Source organism: Homo sapiens, chromosome 19 (assembly GCF_000001405.40).
Source record: "Homo sapiens chromosome 19, GRCh38.p14 Primary Assembly".
NCBI lineage: Eukaryota > Metazoa > Chordata > Mammalia > Primates > Hominidae > Homo > Homo sapiens.
This window is the reverse complement of record NC_000019.10, coordinates 49034582-49052301: the sequence shown is the minus strand read 5'-3', so window position 1 is coordinate 49052301 and position 17720 is coordinate 49034582. Positions and strand designations below refer to the sequence as shown.

Here is a 17720-nt window from a genome sequence, read left to right as displayed (position 1 = left end):
GCAGTGAGCCGAGATCGAGCCACTGCAGTCCAGTCTGGGTGAGAGAGTGAGACTCCATCTCAAAAAAAAAAAAAAAAAATTGGTTGGAACATCCTCCAAGATGCAAGACTCTCGGTTCCTCAGAGTTCTACGGGAAGGATGGCAGAATGCAGTTGCCCAGAGGTGAAGTCCCATCTCTGTCATTTGCTGCCTATGTGACCAGGCAAAAAGCATTAATTTCTCTGAGCCTGTATTTTACCCTCTGTTGCTATTGAGTAATTGTAGTTGGCTATTTTCTATTTTTATTTTTATTTCATCTTTTTTTTTTTTTTTTTTTTTGAGACGGAGTCTCGCCCTGTCACCCAGTCTGGAGTGCAGTGGCGCGCTCTTGGCTCACTGCACCTATGCTTCCCGGGTTCAAGCAATTCACCTGCCTCAGACTCCCGAGTAGCTGGGACTACAGGTGTGCACCACCACACCCAGCTAATTTTTGTAATTTTTTTAGTAGACACAGCGTTTCGCCACGTTGGCCAGGCTAGTCCCAAAGTCCTGACCTCAGGTGACGCACCCGCCTCGGCGTCCCATAGTGCTGGGATTGCAGGCAAGAGCCACTGTCCCCGGCCGAACAATTTTTATCTTTATTTTATGATTATTATTATTATTTTTTTAAGATGGAGCTTTGTTTTTGTTGCCCAAGCTGAAGTGCAATGGCGCGATCTTGGCTCACTTCAAACTCCGCCTCCTGGGATTAAGCGATTCTCCTGCCTCAGCCTCCCAAGTGGCTGGGATTATAAGCATGCAGCACCACGCCGGAGGATATTTTGTATTTTTAGTAGAGGTGCGGTTTCTCTATGTTGGTCAGGCTGGTCTGGAACTCCTCACCTCAGCTGATCCACCCACTGCAGCCTCCGACAATGCTGGGATTACAAGTGTGAGCCACCATGCCCGGCCTTATTTATTTATTTTTTTTGAGAGAGAGTCTCACTGTGTTGTCCAGGCCGAAGTGCAGTGACACGATCTTGGCTCACTGCAATCTCAGCCCTCCCGGGTTCAAGCGATTCTCCTGCCTCAGCCTCCCGAGTAGCTGAGATCACAGGCGTGCAGCACCAGGCCTGGCTAATTTTGGTATTATCAGTAGAGATGTTGTTTCACAGTGTTGGCCAGGCTGCTCTCGAACTCCTGACCTCAAGTCATCCACCCGCCTCAGCCTCCCAAAGTGCTGGGACTACAGGTGTGAGCCATAGTGCCTGACCTGTAGTTGTTGAATATTTATTATTAATCTACAAGTTGGGTGTGATGCAAGTCCTTTATATGGAGTCCCCCAAACTTCTAGAGCAAGGGCTTCCCCATAATCCTGGCAGGCAGGCCTCCCCTGGGGTTTCCAACTTCTGACCCCACTGAAGTGTTTATCCTCTTCTCTAATCCCAGCCTCCTTTTCCCTGTCTCCGTGTGCTGAGAGGTGCTCTGAGAGATGCTCCCGCTCCCCCAGGCTCCCTCTGCATCCCCCTCATTTTCTTCCTCCCCAGTGTGTCAATGGGGTCCTAACCCCACCCTCGGCACTGTCACCTTTTCCTGATCCAAAGTAGGACCTTCTTTTCCCCTGAGTGGTCCTGTCTAGGGGTGCCGCTGCCGGGCCCCCTCTGGTCTTCCTGCTGCAGACTGGGGCCTTTTGGGAGTCAGCAGGCGCCCGGGCCAACCGCAGCCAGCGTGAGGCGAGCGATGCTTCACCGGCGAGTCATCAGGGTGAGGCTGGCCGTGTGTGATGCAGTCAGTGTCTGGGTGACAGATCCCGGGACCGCTGTGGACTTGGGTGTGCTCGAGGTGGAGGTGTTGGGCGAGGTGCCTGCAGCTGGCGGCAGTTCCCTCTGCCAGCACTTCTTTGTCACCGCTTCGAGGCCGATAACTCTGAGGAAGGTAGCCGTGGGGTAGGTGGAGGGGGCTGCCGCCAGGGTGTGGACCGGGGGGCACTGGGTGTCTGAGTGCAAGGCCAAGCAGTCCTATGTGCGGGCATTGACCGCTGATGCCCAGGGCCGTGTGGACTGGCGATGGATTCAAATTGGCACTGCCTGTGTCTGCACACTCCTCAGCCGGACTGGCCGGGCCTGAGACTTATACCCAGGAACTGGTCAGGCAGAAAAAGAACAGAGCTGGATGCTGAGAGACCTCAGGGTTGGCCCAGCTGCTCTACGGACCCCAGTTTGGGAACTCATCAAATCATCACAAAATCACAACTCTCTGAATTTGAGCTCAGTCTCTGCAGGATGGGTGCCACCACGTGGGGTTTTGAAGGTTGAATAGGAGTTCTCCAGGGGGAAATTGAGAGTAATCATGATGATGATGATGATAATAATAGCCACTATTTACTGAGTGTTTACTCTTTCGTAGCCCTAATACATAACTCCTCAGATCAACTCTCATGGATTTGATCATTGGTGACCTTTGGTGTTAAGTTGCTGACTGCTCAGTCACAGAGGACACCACCTTGCTCATCCTGGGGAGTGGGAGGGCACATTTCACGATGTGGATGGGGGTGGAGAGAAACTGGAGCATGCAAGCAGATGGCCAGGGGACCTTGAGGACATGGTCTACAGAAGGCCTTTAAGTATCTGGGAGCTGGGGTTCAAATGAGAAATCTTACTTGGTGAGAGCAGGCAGGGGTTGGCTTAGAATATTCTGTTTTGAGATAATGAGCTACCGATCACAGGGGGAGTATAAGCAAGGTTCAATGAGAAGCGATCAAGATGCTGCACAGTTCAGCCCTGGGTGGGGAGCGCAAGTCAGGTTTCTAGCCCTCTTTGCTGTGCCAACCTATACCCTACATTGGGAAAGAAACAGACCTTAAAATTGTCCAGCTTGATGGCATCGCGGGGAAGGGACTAAGTCCAGATAATGTCCTCCGAGGCTTCGGCCCCGTGGGCAGGACATACCTCCTGCGGGCCTATTCAATAATCAGTTAAATCACCTGAAGCACACGCATTTCCGGGGACAGCTCCGGGCATCCTGGCTTGAGGGTAGAGTGGGCGGAGGTCCCTAAGGGAGAGGTGGGGCTCGGGCTGAATCCCTCCTTGGGGGCACCAGGGTCAAGTGGCTTCCCTGGCAGCACAGTCACGGGGAGACCCTCTCTCATTGGGCAGAAGCTAAGTCCGAAGCCGCGCCCCTCCTGGGAGGTTGGACTGTGGTGCAGGAAAGCCTCAAGTAGAGGAGGGTTGAGGCTTCAGTCCAGCACCTTTCTCGGGTCACGGCCTCCTCCTGGCTCCCAGGACCCCACCATAGGCAGAGGCAGGCCTTCCTACACCCTACTCCCTGTGCCTCCAGGCTCGACTAGTCCCTAGCACTCGACGACTGAGTCTCTGAGGTCACTTCACCGTGGTCTCCGCCTCACCCTTGGCGCTGGACCAGTGAGAGGAGAGGGCTGGGGCGCTCCGCTGAGCCACTCCTGCGCCCCCCTGGCCTTGTCTACCTCTTGCCCCCCGAAGGGTTAGTGTCGAGCTCACTCCAGCATCCTACAACCTCCTGGTGGCCTTGCCGCCCCCACAACCCCGAGGTTTAAAGCCAGGTACACGAGGCAGGGGACACACCAAGGATGGAGATGTTCCAGGTAAGACTGCAGGGCCCCTGGGCACCTTCCACCTCCTTCCAGGCAATCACTGGCATGAGAAGGGGCAGACCAGTGTGAGCTGTGGAAGGAGGCCTCTTTCTGGAGGAGCGTGACCCCCAGTAAGCTTCAGGTGGGGCATTTCCTGAAGGTGGGGATCTGAAATGTTGGGGTATCTCAGGTCCTCTGGGCTGTGGGGTGGGCTCTGAAAGGCAGGTGTCCGGGTGGTGGGTCCTGAATAGGAGATGCCGGGAAGGGTCTCTGGGTCTTTGTGGGTGGTGTACCACGTGGGATGGGAAGGCCAGGACTCGGGGCTGCGGTCTCAGACCCGGGTGAAGCAGTGTCCTTGTCCCAGGGGCTGCTGCTGTTGCTGCTGCTGAGCATGGGCGGGACATGGGCATCCAAGGAGCCGCTTCGGCCACGGTGCCGCCCCATCAATGCCACCCTGGCTGTGGAGAAGGAGGGCTGCCCCGTGTGCATCACCGTCAACACCACCATCTGTGCCGGCTACTGCCCCACCATGGTGAGCTGCCCGGGGCCGGGGCAGGTGCTGCCACCTCAGGGCCAGACCCACAGAGGCAGCGGGGGAGGAAGGGTGGTCTGCCTCTCTGGTCAGGGGCTGCGGAATGGGGTGTGGGAGGGCAGGAACAGAGGGCTTCCCGGACCCCTGAGTCTGAGACCTGTGGGGGCAGCTGGGGAGCTCAGCTGAGGCGCTGGCCCCAGGCACATGCTCATTCTCCCACTCACACGGCTTCCAGACCCGCGTGCTGCAGGGGGTCCTGCCGGCCCTGCCTCAGGTGGTGTGCAACTACCGCGATGTGCGCTTCGAGTCCATCCGGCTCCCTGGCTGCCCGCGCGGCGTGAACCCCGTGGTCTCCTACGCCGTGGCTCTCAGCTGTCAATGTGCACTCTGCCGCCGCAGCACCACTGACTGCGGGGGTCCCAAGGACCACCCCTTGACCTGTGATGACCCCCGCTTCCAGGACTCCTCTTCCTCAAAGGCCCCTCCCCCCAGCCTTCCAAGTCCATCCCGACTCCCGGGGCCCTCGGACACCCCGATCCTCCCACAATAAAGGCTTCTCAATCCGCACTCTGGAGGTGTCTTTCTGTGGGCTCAGGGCAACCACACACACACAGGATGGGTCCAGCTTCCAAACCATTTTATACAGAGTCACAGTACAGAACTCTGGTAGAAAACAGGGTGGACGGCTGGGCGTGGTGGCTCACGCCTGTAATCCCACCACTTTGGGAGGCCGAGGCAGGCGGATCATGAGGTCAGGAGATCGAGACCATCCTGGCTAACACGGTGAAACCCCGTCTCTACTAAAAATACGAAAAGTTATCCGGGCTTGGTGGTGGGCGCTTGCAGGAGAATGCAGTGAACCTGGGAGCGGGAGGTTGCAGTGAGCAGAGATCGCGCCACTGCACTCCAGCCTGCACGACAGAGCGAGACTCCATCTCAAAAAAAAAAAAAAAAGAAAGAAAGAAAGAAAAAGAAAAGAGGGTGGAGATGGGGGATGACATCCAGCTCAGGAGGTGTCCATGGTCTGGCCTTCCGTGGGGAGAAGGAAGGCCACACGATTGGTGTGGCCCAGGGAGCAGGGCCTCAGCATTCTAAGCCGAGCTCCCTCTTCCACCCTCTGAGGTTGGCACTGGCAGTCCAGGTGGGGGCTTGGGGATCTGAATGGGATGAATGGGCCAAGGGGGATGTCATCTCTTCCATTCTCCTTCATCCACTGCCTCTCCCTTCCCCTCCTCCACCCCTCCCACCCCCGGTCCATCTACCTCCCATCCCAGCCAGGAGCCATCACCTAAGTAGAAAAGGGGCCTCTGGAAAGGGGGCGGGGCCTTGACTCTTGGGTACCCTGCGCTTGAAGAGGAACTCTGGGAAGGGGTTTTTTCAGGGAGTTGGCCTCTTCCCCACCTGGCTGTATAACCTTCCTGTGCTTTTCTTCCCCTAACCGGTTGCTGCTCCCTCTCCTGCGATGTCAGGAAAGAGGGGGCCACCTGTGTCCTCCACAGTGGCCCCCGAAGCCTGGGGTTCCCAGCAGAGCTCAGAGGTGAAGGAGGTGCTACAGCTCTGGTGACCACTGGTTGTTTCCCAGTCTTCTCCATGCCACCCTTTCCAAAAACAACAAAACAAAACAAAACAAACAAAATTGGGCCTGGCGCAGTGGTTCATGCCTGTAATCCCAGCACTTTGGGAAGCCGAGACGGGCGGATCACAAAGTCAGGAGATCAAGACTATCCTGGCTAACACGGGGAAACCCCGTCTCTACTAAAAAATACAACAAATTAGCGAGGCGTCCTGGTGGGCGCCTGTAGTCCCAGCTACTTGGGAGGCCGAGGCAGGAGAATGGCAGGAACCTGGGAGGCGGATCTTGCAGTGAGCCGAGATCGCGCCACTGCAGTCCAGTCTCAACAACAGAGCGAGACTCCGTCTCAAAAAAAAAAAAATTGATTGGAACATCCTCCAAGATGCAAGACTCTCAGTTCCTCAGAGTTCTACAGGAAGGATGGCAGAGTGCAGTTGCCCAGAGTTGAAGTCCCATCTCTGCCATTTGTTGGCTGTGTGACCAGGCACAAATCATTAATTTCTCTGAGCCTGTATTTTACCATCTGTTGCTATTGAGTAATAGTAGTGGACTATTTTCTATTTTTATTTTTATTTTATTTTATTTATTTATTTTTTTTGAGACGGAGTCTCACCCTGTCACCCAGGCTGGAGTGCAGTGGCGTGATCTCAGCTCACTGCACCTATGCTTCCGGGGTTCAAGTCATTCTCCTTCCTCAGCTTCCTGAGTAGCTGGAACTACAGGCGCGCACCACCACACCCAGCTAATTTTTTTTTTTTTTTAGTAGAGACAGGGTTTCACCATGTTGGCCAGGCTGGTCTCAAAGTCCTGAACTCAGGTGATGCACCCGCCTCAGCCTCCCAAAGTGCTGGGATTGCAGGCATGAGCCACTGCGCCTGGACGAACGTTTTTAATTTTTATTTTATTATTATTATTATTATTACTTTTTGAGATGGAGCTTTGTTTTTGTTGCCCAGGCTGAAGTGCAATGGCGGGATCTTGGCTCACTGCAACCTCCGCCTCCTAGGATCAAGAGATTCTCCTGCCTTAGCCTCCCAAGTACCTGGGAGTATAGGCATGCACCACCACGCTCGACGATGTTTTCTATTTTTAGTAGAGATGGGGTTTCTCCATGTTGGTCAGGCTGGTCTGGAACCCCTCACCTCAGCTGATCCACCCACCACAGCCTCCGACAATTACAGGCGTGAGCCACCGCGCCTAGCCGTCCACCCTGTTTTCTACCAGAGTTCTGTACTGTGACTCTGTATAAAATGGTTTGGAAGCTGGACCCATCCTGTGTGTGTGTGATTGCCCTGAGCCCACAGAAAGACACCTCCAGAGTGCGGATTGAGAAGCCTTTATTGTGGGAGGATCGGGGTGTCCGAGGGCCCCGGGAGTCGGGATGGACTTGGAAGGCTGGGGGGAGGGGCCTTTGAGGAAGAGGAGTCCTGGAAGCGGGGGTCATCACAGGTCAAGGGGTGGTCCTTGGGACCCCCGCAGTCAGTGGTGCTGCGGCGGCAGAGTGCACATTGACAGCTGAGAGCCACGGCGTAGGAGACCACGGGGTTCACGCCGCGCGGGCAGCCAGGGAGCCGGATGGACTCGAAGCGCACATCGCGGTAGTTGCACACCACCTGAGGCAGGGCCGGCAGGACCCCCTGCAGCACGCGGGTCTGGAAGCCGTGTGAGTGGGGGAATGAGCATGTGCCTGGGGCCAGCGCCTCAGCTGAGCTCCCCAGTTGCCCCCACAGGTCTCAGACTCAGGGGTCCGGGAAGCCCTCTGTTCCTGCCCTCCCACACCCCATTCCGCAGCCCCTGACCAGAGAGGCAGACCACCCTTCCTCCCCCGCTGCCTCTGTGGGTCTGGCCCTGAGGTGGCAGCACCTGCCCGGGCCCCGGGCAGCTCACCATGGTGGGGCAGTAGCCGGCACAGATGGTGGTGTTGACGGTGATGCACACGGGGCAGCCCTCCTTCTCCACAGCCAGGGTGGCATTGATGGGGCGGCACCGTGGCCGAAGCGGCTCCTTGGATGCCCATGTCCCGCCCATGCTCAGCAGCAGCAACAGCAGCAGCCCCTGGGACAAGGACACTGCTTCACCCGGGTCTGAGACCGCAGCCCCGAGTCCTGGCCTTCCCATCCCGCGTGGTACACCACCCACAAAGACCCAGAGACCCTTCCCGGCATCTCCTATTCAGGACCCACCACCCGGACACCTGCCTTTCAGAGCCCACCCCACAGCCCAGAGGACCTGAGATGCCCCAAAATTTCAGATCCCCACCCTTAGGAACTGCCCCACCTGAAGCTTACTGGGGGTCACGCTCCTCCAGAAAGAGGCCTCCTTCCACAGCTCACACTGGTCTGCCCCTTCTCATGCCAGTGATTGCCTGGAAGGAGGTGGAAGGTGCCCAGGGGCCCTGCAGTCTTACCTGGAACATCTCCATCCTTGGTGCGTCCCCTGCCTCGTGTACCTGGCTTTATACCTCGGGGTTGTGGGGGCGGCAAGGCCACCAGGAGGTTGTAGGATGCTGGGGTGAGCTCGACACTAACCCTTCGGGGGGCAAGAGGTAGACAAGGCCAGGGGGGCGCAGGAGTGGCTCAGCGGAGCGCCCCAGCCCTCTCCTCTCACTGGTCCAGCGCCAAGGGTGAGGCGGAGACCACGGTGAAGTGATCTCAGAGACTCAGTCGTCGAGTGCTAGGGACTAGTCGAGCCTGGAGGCACAGGGAGTAGGGTGTAGGAAGGCCTGCCTCTGCCTATGGTGGGGTCCTGGGAGCCAGGAGGAGGCCGTGACCCGAGCAAAGTGCTGGATTGAAGCCTCAACCCTCCTCTACTTGAGGCTTTCCTGCACCACAGTCCAACCTCCCAGGAGGGGCGCGGCTTCGGACTTAGCTTCTGCCCAATGAGAGAGGGCCTCCCCGTGACTGTGCTGCCAGGGAAGCCACTTGACCCAGATGCCCCCCAACGAGGGATTCAGCCCGAGCCCCACCTCTCCCTTAGGAACCTCCGCCCACTCTACCCTCAAGCCAGGATGCCCGGAGCGGTCCCCGGAAATGCGTGTGCTTCAGGTGATTTAACTGATTATTGAATAGGCCCGCAGGAGGTGTGTCCTGCCCACGGGGCCGAAGCCTCAGAGGACATTATCTGGACTTAGTCCCTTCCCCGCGATGCCATCAAGCTGGACAATTTTAAGGTCTGTTTCTTTCCCAATGTAGGGTATAGGTTGGCACAGGGAAGAGGGCTAGAAACCTGACTTGAGCTCCCCACCCAGGGCTGAACTGTGCAGCATCTTGATCGCTTCTCATTGAACCTTGCTTAAACTCCCCCTGTGATCGGTAGCTCATTATCTCAAAACAAAATATTCTAAGCCGACCCCTGCCCACTCTCACCAAGTAAGATTTCTCATTTGAACCCCAGCTCCCAGATACTGAAAGGCCTTCTGTAGACCATGTTCTCAAGGTCCCCTGGCCATCTGCTTGCATGTTCCAGTTTCTCTCCTCCCCCATGCACATCGTGAAATGTGCCCTCCCACTCCCCAGGATGAGGAAGGTGGTGTCCTCTGTGACTGAGCAGTCAGCAACTTAACACCAAAGGTCACCAATGATCAAATCCATGAGAGTTGATCCGAGGAGTTATGTATTATGGCTAAGAAAGAGTAAACACTCAGTAAATAGTGCCTATTATTATTATCATCATCATCATGATTATCCTCAAGTTCCCCCAGGAGAACTCCTATTCAACCTTCAAAACCCCATGTGGTGGCACCCATCCTGCAGAGATTGAGCTCAAATTCAGAGAGTTGTGATTTTGTGATGATTTGATGAGTTCCCAAACTGGGGTCCGTAGAGCAGCTGGGCCAACCCTGAGGTCTCTCAGCATCCAGCTCTGTTCTTTTTCTGCCTGACCAGTTCCTGGGTATAAGTCTCAGGCCCGGCCAGTCCGGCTGAGGAGTGTGCAGACACAGGCAGTGCCAATTTGAATCCATCACCAGTCCACACAGCCCTGGGCATCAGCGGTCAATGCCCGCACATAGGACTGCTTGGCCTTGCACTCAGACACCCAGTGCCCCCCGGTCCACACCCTGCGGCAGCCCCTCCACCTACCCCTGGGCCACCTTCTTCAGAGTTATTGGCCTCGAAGCAGGTGACAAAGAAGTGTTGGCAGAGGGAACTGCCGCCAGCTGCAGGCACCTCGCCCAACACCTCCACCTCCAGCACACCTGAGTCCACAGCGGTCCGGGGGTCTGTCACCCAGCCAGTGACTGCATCACACACGGCCAGCCTCACCCTGATGACTCGCCAGTGAAGTATTGCTCACCCCTCGCTGGCTGCGGTTGGCCCGGGCGCCTGCTGACTCCCGAAAGGCCCCAGTCTCCAGCAGGAAGACCAGAGGGGGCCCGGCAGCGGCACCCCTAGGCAGGACCACTCAGGGGAAAAGAAGGTCCCACTTTGGATCAGGAAAAGGCGACAATGTCGAGGGTGGGGTTAGGACCCCATTGACACACTGGAGAGGAAGAAAATGAGGGGGATGTAGAGGGAGTCTGGGGGAGCGGGAGCATCTCTCAGAGCACCTCTCAGAGCACATGGAGACAGGGAAAAGGAGGCTGGGATTAGAGAAGAGGATAAACACTTCAGTGGGGTCAGAAGTTGGGAACCCCAGGGGAGGCCTGCCTGCCAGGATTATGGGGAAGCCCTTGCTCTAGAAGTTTGGGGGACTCCATATATAGGACTTGCATAACACCCAACTTGTAGATTAATAGTAAATATTCAACAACTACAGGTCAGGCATTATGGCCCACACCTGTAATCCCAGCACTTTGGGAGGCTGAGGCGGGTGGATGACTTGAGGTCAGGACTTTGAGACCAGCCTGGCCAACATGGTGAATCCCTGTCTCTACTAAAAAAAATACAAAAATTAGCTGGGTGTGGTGGTGGGCACCTGTACTCCCAGCTACTCAGGAGGCTGAGGCAGGAGAATCGCTTGAACCCCGGAAGCAGAGATGCAGTGAGCCAAGAGCGCACCACTGCACTCCAGCCTGGGTGACAGGGCCAGACTCTGTCTCAAACAAAAATAAAAATAAAAATAAAAATAAATAAAAATACATAATAGTCAACTACTATTACTCAATAGCAACAGATGGTAAAATACAGGATCAGAGAAAGTAATGATTTGTGCCCGGTCACACAGCCAACAAATGGCAGAGATGGGACTTCACCTCTGGGCGACTGCACTCTGCCATCCTTCCTGTAGAACTCTAAGGAACCGAGAGTCTTGCATCCTGGAGGATGTTCCAATCAATTTTTTTTTTTTTCAGGGGGAGTCTCACTTGTCACCCAGGCTGGACTGCAGTGGCTCAATCTCGGCTCACTGCAAGCTCCGCCTCCCAGGTTCACACCACTCTCCTGCCTCAGCCTCCCGAGTAGCTGGGACTACAGGCGCCCGCCACCATGCCTGGCTAATTTCTTGTATTTTTTAGTAGAGACGGGGTTTCCCCATGTTAGCCAGGATGGTCTTGATCTCCTGACCCTGTGATCTGCCTTCCTCGGCCTCCCAAAGTGCTGGGATTACAGGCATGAGCCACTGCACCCGGCCCAATTTTTTTTTCTTTTTTTTTTTTGAGACAGAGCCTCACTCTGTCTGGCCAGGCTGGAGTAGAGTGGCACAATCCCGGCGCACTGTAGCGCCTGCCTCCTGGGTTCAAGTGACTCTCCTGCCTCAGCCTTCTGAGTAACTGGAATTACAAGCGCCTGCCACCGTGCCCTGCTAATTTTTGTATTTTTAGTAGAGATGCAGTTTCACAACATTGGCCAGACTGGTCTCAAACTCCCAACCTCCAGTGATACTCCTGCCCTGGCCTCCCAGAGTGCTGGGATTATAGGCCTGAGAAACCACGCCTGGCCCCAAACAAATTGCTTTAAGACGAGGTCTCCCTATGTTTCCCCACTGCACTTGAACTCCTGGGCTCAAGCCATCCTCCTGCTGTGGCTCCTGAGTAGCTGGGACTACAGACTCAAGCCACCACGCCTGGCCACATTCCACAATTTAGAGAAAGTGCACAACCTGGAATCCTAGGGAGACCCCGATTCACCTCAAAACTGCCACTAAGGAGGTAAAACGCTGCCCCTCTGAGGCAGGCTTCAGTTTCCCTGTGTGTGAAATTGACCTGGCGCTGGGAGAGGCTGGTGGAGGCGCGGATTTTGCAGTTTCCCTACAACATTCTGGAAGCCTGTGGTTCTGGGAAAGGTTGGCGTGGAGAAGACTGGGAAACAACCAGTGGTCACCAGAGCTGTAGCACCCCCTCCACCTCGGAGCTCTGGGGCTGGGAACCCCAGGCTTCGGGGACCACTGTGGAGGACGCAGGTGGCCCCCTCTTTCCTGACATCTCAGGAGAGGGAGGGGTAACCGGCTAGCAGAAGAAAAGCACAGGAAGGTTATACAGCCAGATGGGGAAGGGGCCAAATCTCTGAACAACCCCTTCCCAGAGTTCCTCTTCAAGTGCAGGGTACCCAAGAGTCAAGGCCCCGTCCCCTTTCCAGAGGCCCCTTTTCTACCCAGGTCCTAGCTGGGATGGGAGGCAGATGGACGGAGGGGAGGGGGGAGGAGGGGAAGGGAGAGGCAGTGGATGAAGGAGGATGGAAGAGATGACATCCCCCTCGGCCCATTCATCCCATTCAGGTCCCCAAGCCGCGCCCCCCACCCCGCCCCACCTGCACTGCCAGTGCCAACGTCAGAGGGAGGAAGAGGGAGCTCGGCTTAGAAGGCTGAGGCCCTGCCACCTGGGCCACACCGATCATGTGGCCTTCCTTCCCCCACAGAAGGCCAGACCATGGACACCTCCTGAGCTGGAGGTCATCCTCCATCTCCACCCTGTTTTCTTTTTCTTTCTTTCTTTCTTTTTTTTTTTTTTGAGATGGAGTCTCGCTCTGTCGTGGAGGCTGGAGTGCAGTGGCGTGATCTCTGCTCACTGCAAGCTCCCCCTCCTAGGTTCACTCCATTCTCCTGCCTCAGCCTTCCAAGTAGCTTGGACTACAGGGGCCCGCGACCAAGCCCAGATAAGTTTTTGTATTTTTAGTAGAGACGGGGTTTCACCGTGTTAGCCAGGAAGGTCTCGATCCCCTGACCACATGATCCGCCCGCCTGGGCCTCCCAAAGTGGTGGGATTACTGGAGCGCAGCACCACGCCCAGCTAATTTTGGTATTATCAGTAGAGATGTTGTTTCACAGTGTTGGCCAGGCTGCTCTCAAACTCCTGACCTCAAGTCAAACACCCGCCTCAGCCTCCCAAAGTGCTGGGACTACAGGTGTGAGCCATAGTGCCTGACCTGTAGTTGTTGAATATTTATTATTAATCTACAAGTTGGGTGTGATGCAAGTCCTTTATATGGAGTCCCCCAAACTTCTAGAGCAAGGGCTTCCCCATAATCCTGGCAGGCAGGCCTCCCCTGGGGTTCCCAACTTCTGACCCCACTGAAGTGTTTATCTTCTTCCCTAATCCCAGCCTCCTTTTCCCTGTCTCCATGTGCTCTGAGAGATGCTCTGAGAGATGCTCCTGCTCCCCCAGGCTCCCTCCGCATCCCCCTCATTTTCCTCCTCCCCAGTGTGTCATTGGAGTCCTAACCCCATCCTCGACATTGTCGCGTTTTCCTCCTCCAGAGTGGGACCTTCTTTTCCCCCGAGTGGTCCTGTCTAGGGGTGCCGCTGCCGGGCCCCCTCTGGTCTTCCTGCTGGAGACTGGAGCCTTTCGGGAGTCAGCAGGCGCCCGGGCCAACCGCAGCCAGCGTGGGGTGAGCGATACTTCACCGGTGAGTCATCAGGGTGAGCTGGCCGTGTGCGATGCAGTCACTGTCTGGGTGACAGACCCCTGGACTGCTGTGGACTTGGGTGTGCTCGAGGTGGAGGTGTTGGGTGAGGTGCCTGCAGCTGGCAGCAGTTCCCTCCGCCAGCACTTCTTTGTTACCCGCTTCGAGGCCGATAAATCTAAGGAAGGTGGCCCGGGGGTAGGTGGAGGACCTGCCGCCGGGGTGTGGACCGGGGGGCACTGGGTGTCTGAGTGCAAGGCCAAGCAGTCCTATGGGCGGGCATTGACCACTGATGCCCAGGGCCGTGTGGACTGGCGATGGATTCAAATTGGCACTGCCTGTGTCTGCACACTCCTCAGCCGGACTGGCCGGGCCTGAGACTTATACCCAGGAACTGGTCAGGCAGAAAAAGAACAGAGCTGGATGCTGAGAGACCTCAGGGTTGGCCCAGCTGCTCTACGGACGGACCCCAGTTGGGGAACTCATCAAATCATCGCAAAATCTCAACTGTCTGAATTTGAGCTCAATCTCTGTAGGATGGGTGCAACAATGTGGGGTTTTGAAGGTTGAATAGGAACTCTCCCGGGGGAACTTGAGGGTAATCATGATGATGATGATAATAATAATAGCCATTATTTACTGAGTGTTTACTCTTTCGTAGCCCTAATACATAACTCCTCGGATCAACTCTCATGGATTTGATCATTGGTGACCTTTGGTGTTAAGTTGCTGACTGCTCAGTCACAGAGGACACCACCTTGCTCATCCTGGGGAGTGGGAGGGCACATTTCACGATGTGCATGGGGGAGGAGAGAAACTGGAACATGCAAGCAGATGGCCAGGGGACCTTGAGGACATGGTCTACAGAAGGCCTTTAAGTATCTGGGAGCTGGGGTTCAAATGAGAAATCTTACTTGGTGAGAGCAGGCAGGGGTTGGCTTAGAATATTCTGTTTTGAGATAAAGAGCTACCGATCACACGGGGAGTATAAGCAAGGTTCAATGAGAAGTGATCAGGATGCTGGAGAGTTCAGCCCTGGGCGGGGAGCTCAAGTCAGGTTTCTAGCCCTCTTCCCTGTGCCATCCTATACCCTACATTGGGAAAGAAACAGACCTTAAAATTGTCCAGCTTGATGGCATCGCGGGGAAGGGACTAAGTCCAGATAATGTCCTCCGAGGCTGCGGCCTCGGGGGCAGGACACACCTCCTGCGGGCCTATTCAATAATCAGTTAAATCACCCGAAGCACACGCATTTCCGGGGACCGCTCCGGGCATCCTGGCTTGAGGGTAGAGTGGGCAGAGGTCCCTAAGGGAGAGGTGGGGCTCGGGCTGAATCCCTCGTTGGCGGCACCAGGGTCAAGTGGCTAACCTGGCAGCACAGTCACGGGGAGGCCCTCTCTCATTGGGCAGAAACTAAGTCCGAAGCCGCGCCCCTCCTGGGCGAGGAGGTTCCACCTCCTAGGTTCCTGTGATTCTCCTGCCTCAGCCCGAGTAGTGGGACATCCCACTTGCTCCCGCCATTCTGTTTACCACAGGTGACGACCGCCATGGCTGACAGGCAGGGAGGTCCCCCGAGGACCGAGCAAGGCTCGGTATCCCAAAAAAAAAAAAAAAGATACATTGAAGTAATTTAAAAACACTTAGGAAGATGTCATTTCTTCCTATCAAGGCGTCCTCCCTTTATGTTTTGTTGTTATATAGGGAACGATAAAAAAATTTTTTTTTTTTTTCCTACCAATGGGGCCCAGGTTGACCTCGAACTCCAGTCCCTCACACCCTCGCCTAGCCTTGAGAGCCCGAGGGCAGGCTCAATCGGCCGGAGCCACAATGGCTCCGGTTGTCGGGCCCATCCTTTCTTCCCTTTGATCTTACGCAGGGTGATGGAGCCAATCACAAGAGGCTCATCCCTGACGTCACCCAGTCCCCAGGGCCAGTGAGGGCCCTGCGTTCCGTGGCGCCCCCTGGAGGGAGGAAGGGGAACTGCATCTGAGAGAGAGCAGCCAATTGGGTCCGCTGACTCTGGCCAGGTTCCCGTGCCGCGTCCAACACCCCTCACTCCCTGTCTCACTCCCCCACGGAGACTCAATTTACTTTCCATGTCCACATTCCCAGTGCTTGCGGAAGATATCCCGCTAAGAGAGAGACATGTCAAAGGTAGGGTAGATCCACATTTCCGGGCACCAAAGATGGAGATGTTCCAGGAAAGACTGCAGGGCCCCTGGGCACCTTCCACCTCCTTCCAGGCCATCACTGGCATGAGAAGGGGCAGACCCGTGTGAGCTGTGGAAGGAGGCCTCTTTCTGGAGGAGCGTGACCCCCAGTAAGCTTCAGGTGGGTCAGTTCCTGAGGGTGCGGATCTGAAATGTTGGGGTATCTCAGGTCCTCTGGGCTGTGGGGTGGGCTCTGAAAGGCAGGTGTCCGGGTGGTGGGTCCTGAATAGAAGATGCCGGGAAGGGTCTCTGGGTCTTTGTGGGTGGTGTACCATGCGGGATGGGAAGGCCAGGACTGGGGGCTGCAGTCTCAGACCCGGGTGAAGCAGTGTCCTTGCCCCAGAGGCTGCTGCTGTTGCTGCTGCTGAGCATGGGCGGGACATGGGCATCCAAGGAGCCGCTTCGGCCACGGTGCCGCCCCATCAATGCCACCCTGGCTGTGGAGAAGGAGGGCTGCCCCGTGTGCATCACCGTCAACACCACCATCTGTGCCGGCTACTGCCCCACCATGGTGAGCTGCCCGGGGCCAGGGCAGGTGCTGCCACCTCAGGGCCAGACCCACAGAGGCAGCGGGGGAGGAAGGGTGGTCTGCCTCTCTGGTCAGGGGCTGCGGAATGGGGTGTGGGAGGGCAGGAACAGAGGGCTTCCTGGACCCCTGAGTCTGAGACCTGTGGGGGCAGCTGGGGAGCTCAGCTGAGGCGCTGGCCCCAGGCACATGCTCATTCCCCCACTCACACGGCTTCCAGACCCGCGTGCTGCAGGGGGTCCTGCCGGCCCTGCCTCAGGTGGTGTGCAACTACCGCGATGTGCGCTTCGAGTCCATCCGGCTCCCTGGCTGCCCGCGCGGCGTGAACCCCGTGGTCTCCTACGCCGTGGCTCTCAGCTGTCAATGTGCACTCTGCCGCCGCAGCACCACTGACTGCGGGGGTCCCAAGGACCACCCCTTGACCTGTGATGACCCCCGCTTCCAGGACTCCTCTTCCTCAAAGGCCCCTCCCCCCAGCCTTCCAAGTCCATCCCGTCTCCCGGGGCCCTAGGACACCCCGATCCTCCCACAATAAAGGCTTCTCAATCCGCACTCTGGAGGTGTCTTTCTGTGGGCTCAGGGCAATCACACACACAGGGTGGGTCCAGCTTCCAAACTATTTTATACAGAGTCACAGTACAGAACTCTGGTAGAAAACAGGGTGGACGGCTGGGCGTGGTGGCTCACGCCTGTAATTGTCGGAGGCTGCGGTGGGTGGATCAGCTGAGGTGAGGGGTTCCAGACCAACATGACCAACATGGAGAAACCCCATCTCTACTAAAATTACAAAATATCGTCGGGCGTGGTGGTGCATGCCTATACTCCCAGGTACTTGGGAGGCTTAGGCAGGAGAATCTCTTGATCCTAGGAGGCGGAGGTTGCAGTGAGCCAAGATCCCGCCATTGCACTTCAGCCTGGGCAACAAAAACAAAGCTCCATCTCAAAAATTAGTAATAATAATAATAATAATAATAATAATAATATAATTAAAAACGTTCGTCCAGGCGCAGTGGCTCATGCCTGCAATCCCAGCACTTTGGGAGGCCGAGGCAGGTGCATCACCTGAGTTCAGGACTTCGAGACCAGCCTGGCCAACATGGTGAAACCCTGTCTCTACTAAAAAAAAAAAAAAAAATTAGCTGGGTGTGGTGGTGCGCGCCTGTAGTTCCAGCTACTCAGGAAGCTGAGGCAGGAGAATCGCTTGAACCCGGGAAGCATAGGTGCAGTGAGCCGAGATCACGCCACTGCACTCCAGCCTGGGTGACAGGGCGAGACTCCGTCTCAAAAAAAAATAAAATAAATAAAATAAAAATAAAAATAGAAAATAGTCCACTACTATTACTCAATAGCAACAGATGGTAAAATACAGGCTCAGAGAAATTAATGATTTGTGCCTGGTCACACAGCCAACAAATGGCAGAGATGGGACTTCAACTCTGGGCAACTGCACTCTGCCATCCTTCCTGTAGAACTCTGAGGAACTGAGAGTCTTGCATCTTGGAGGATGTTCCAATCAATTTTTTTTTTTTTTTTGAGACG

The 17720-nt window shown here is 55.9% G+C and overlaps 3 protein-coding genes, 1 non-coding gene and 3 pseudogenes across 5 annotated transcripts, besides 2 other annotated features; 4 read left to right on the top strand and 3 right to left on the bottom strand.

Annotated features, from left to right (window-relative positions):
* On the top strand, positions 1429-2282 carry LOC100287489 (neurotrophin 4 pseudogene; annotated as a pseudogene).
* A 908-nt stretch (positions 2283-3190) lies between these two features.
* Positions 3191-4664, top strand: CGB8 (chorionic gonadotropin subunit beta 8). The gene is made up of 3 exons (NM_033183.3): positions 3191-3577; positions 3930-4097; positions 4333-4664. The coding sequence occupies exons 1-3, from the start codon at positions 3563-3565 to the stop codon at positions 4645-4647; spliced, it is 498 nt and encodes a 165-aa protein (NP_149439.1). The 5' UTR covers positions 3191-3562; the 3' UTR covers positions 4648-4664.
* A 2326-nt stretch (positions 4665-6990) lies between these two features.
* Positions 6991-8454, bottom strand: CGB5 (chorionic gonadotropin subunit beta 5). Its single transcript, NM_033043.2, has 3 exons — positions 8078-8454; positions 7558-7725; positions 6991-7322 (listed from the first exon to the last, which is right to left on the bottom strand). The coding sequence occupies exons 1-3, from the start codon at positions 8090-8092 to the stop codon at positions 7008-7010; spliced, it is 498 nt and encodes a 165-aa protein (NP_149032.1). The 5' UTR covers positions 8093-8454; the 3' UTR covers positions 6991-7007.
* Positions 8099-8607: an enhancer, noted in NCBI's record as "H3K4me1 hESC enhancer chr19:49546952-49547460 (GRCh37/hg19 assembly coordinates)". NCBI's record gives its function as "activates a minimal SCP1, AML or CMV promoter by ChIP-STARR-seq in naive H9 embryonic stem cells {active_cell/tissue: H9 hESC(naive)}" and the evidence as "EXISTENCE:reporter gene assay evidence [ECO:0000049][PMID:30033119]".
* Positions 8608-9117: an enhancer, noted in NCBI's record as "H3K4me1 hESC enhancer chr19:49546442-49546951 (GRCh37/hg19 assembly coordinates)". NCBI's record gives its function as "activates a minimal SCP1, AML or CMV promoter by ChIP-STARR-seq in naive H9 embryonic stem cells {active_cell/tissue: H9 hESC(naive)}" and the evidence as "EXISTENCE:reporter gene assay evidence [ECO:0000049][PMID:30033119]".
* On the bottom strand, positions 9374-10230 carry LOC100287453 (neurotrophin 4 pseudogene; annotated as a pseudogene).
* On the top strand, positions 13176-14080 carry NTF6B (neurotrophin 6 beta (pseudogene); annotated as a pseudogene).
* On the bottom strand, positions 15155-15282 carry SNAR-G1 (small NF90 (ILF3) associated RNA G1). Its single transcript, NR_004383.1, has one exon. It is a non-coding gene; the product is annotated as a small NF90 (ILF3) associated RNA G1 (small nuclear RNA).
* Positions 15283-15406: 124 nt separating this feature from the next.
* Positions 15407-16733, top strand: CGB1 (chorionic gonadotropin subunit beta 1). 2 transcript variants are annotated; one of them, NM_033377.2, is made up of 3 exons: positions 15407-15599; positions 15999-16166; positions 16402-16733. In NM_033377.2, exons 1-3 carry the CDS (start codon positions 15591-15593, stop codon positions 16690-16692), a joined length of 468 nt encoding a protein of 155 aa, NP_203695.2. In that variant the 5' UTR covers positions 15407-15590; the 3' UTR covers positions 16693-16733. The 2 variants fall into 2 exon arrangements, with proteins under 2 accessions (NP_203695.2, NP_001369350.1); NM_001382421.1 differs by having other exon boundaries at positions 15407-15776.
* Positions 16734-17720: the final 987 nt, after the last annotated feature.

What these genes read in the sequence shown, in the direction of transcription:
- CGB5 (NM_033043.2), bottom strand. An exon ending in CCGGCTACTGCCCCACCATG is followed by an intron (nt 7,323 to 7,557) that starts GTGAGCTGCCCG and finishes CACGGCTTCCAG; the next exon opens with ACCCGCGTGCTGCAGGGGGT.
- CGB8 (NM_033183.3), top strand. An exon ending in CCGGCTACTGCCCCACCATG is followed by an intron (nt 4,098 to 4,332) that starts GTGAGCTGCCCG and finishes CACGGCTTCCAG; the next exon opens with ACCCGCGTGCTGCAGGGGGT.
- CGB1 (NM_033377.2), top strand. An exon ending in CCGGCTACTGCCCCACCATG is followed by an intron (nt 16,167 to 16,401) that starts GTGAGCTGCCCG and finishes CACGGCTTCCAG; the next exon opens with ACCCGCGTGCTGCAGGGGGT.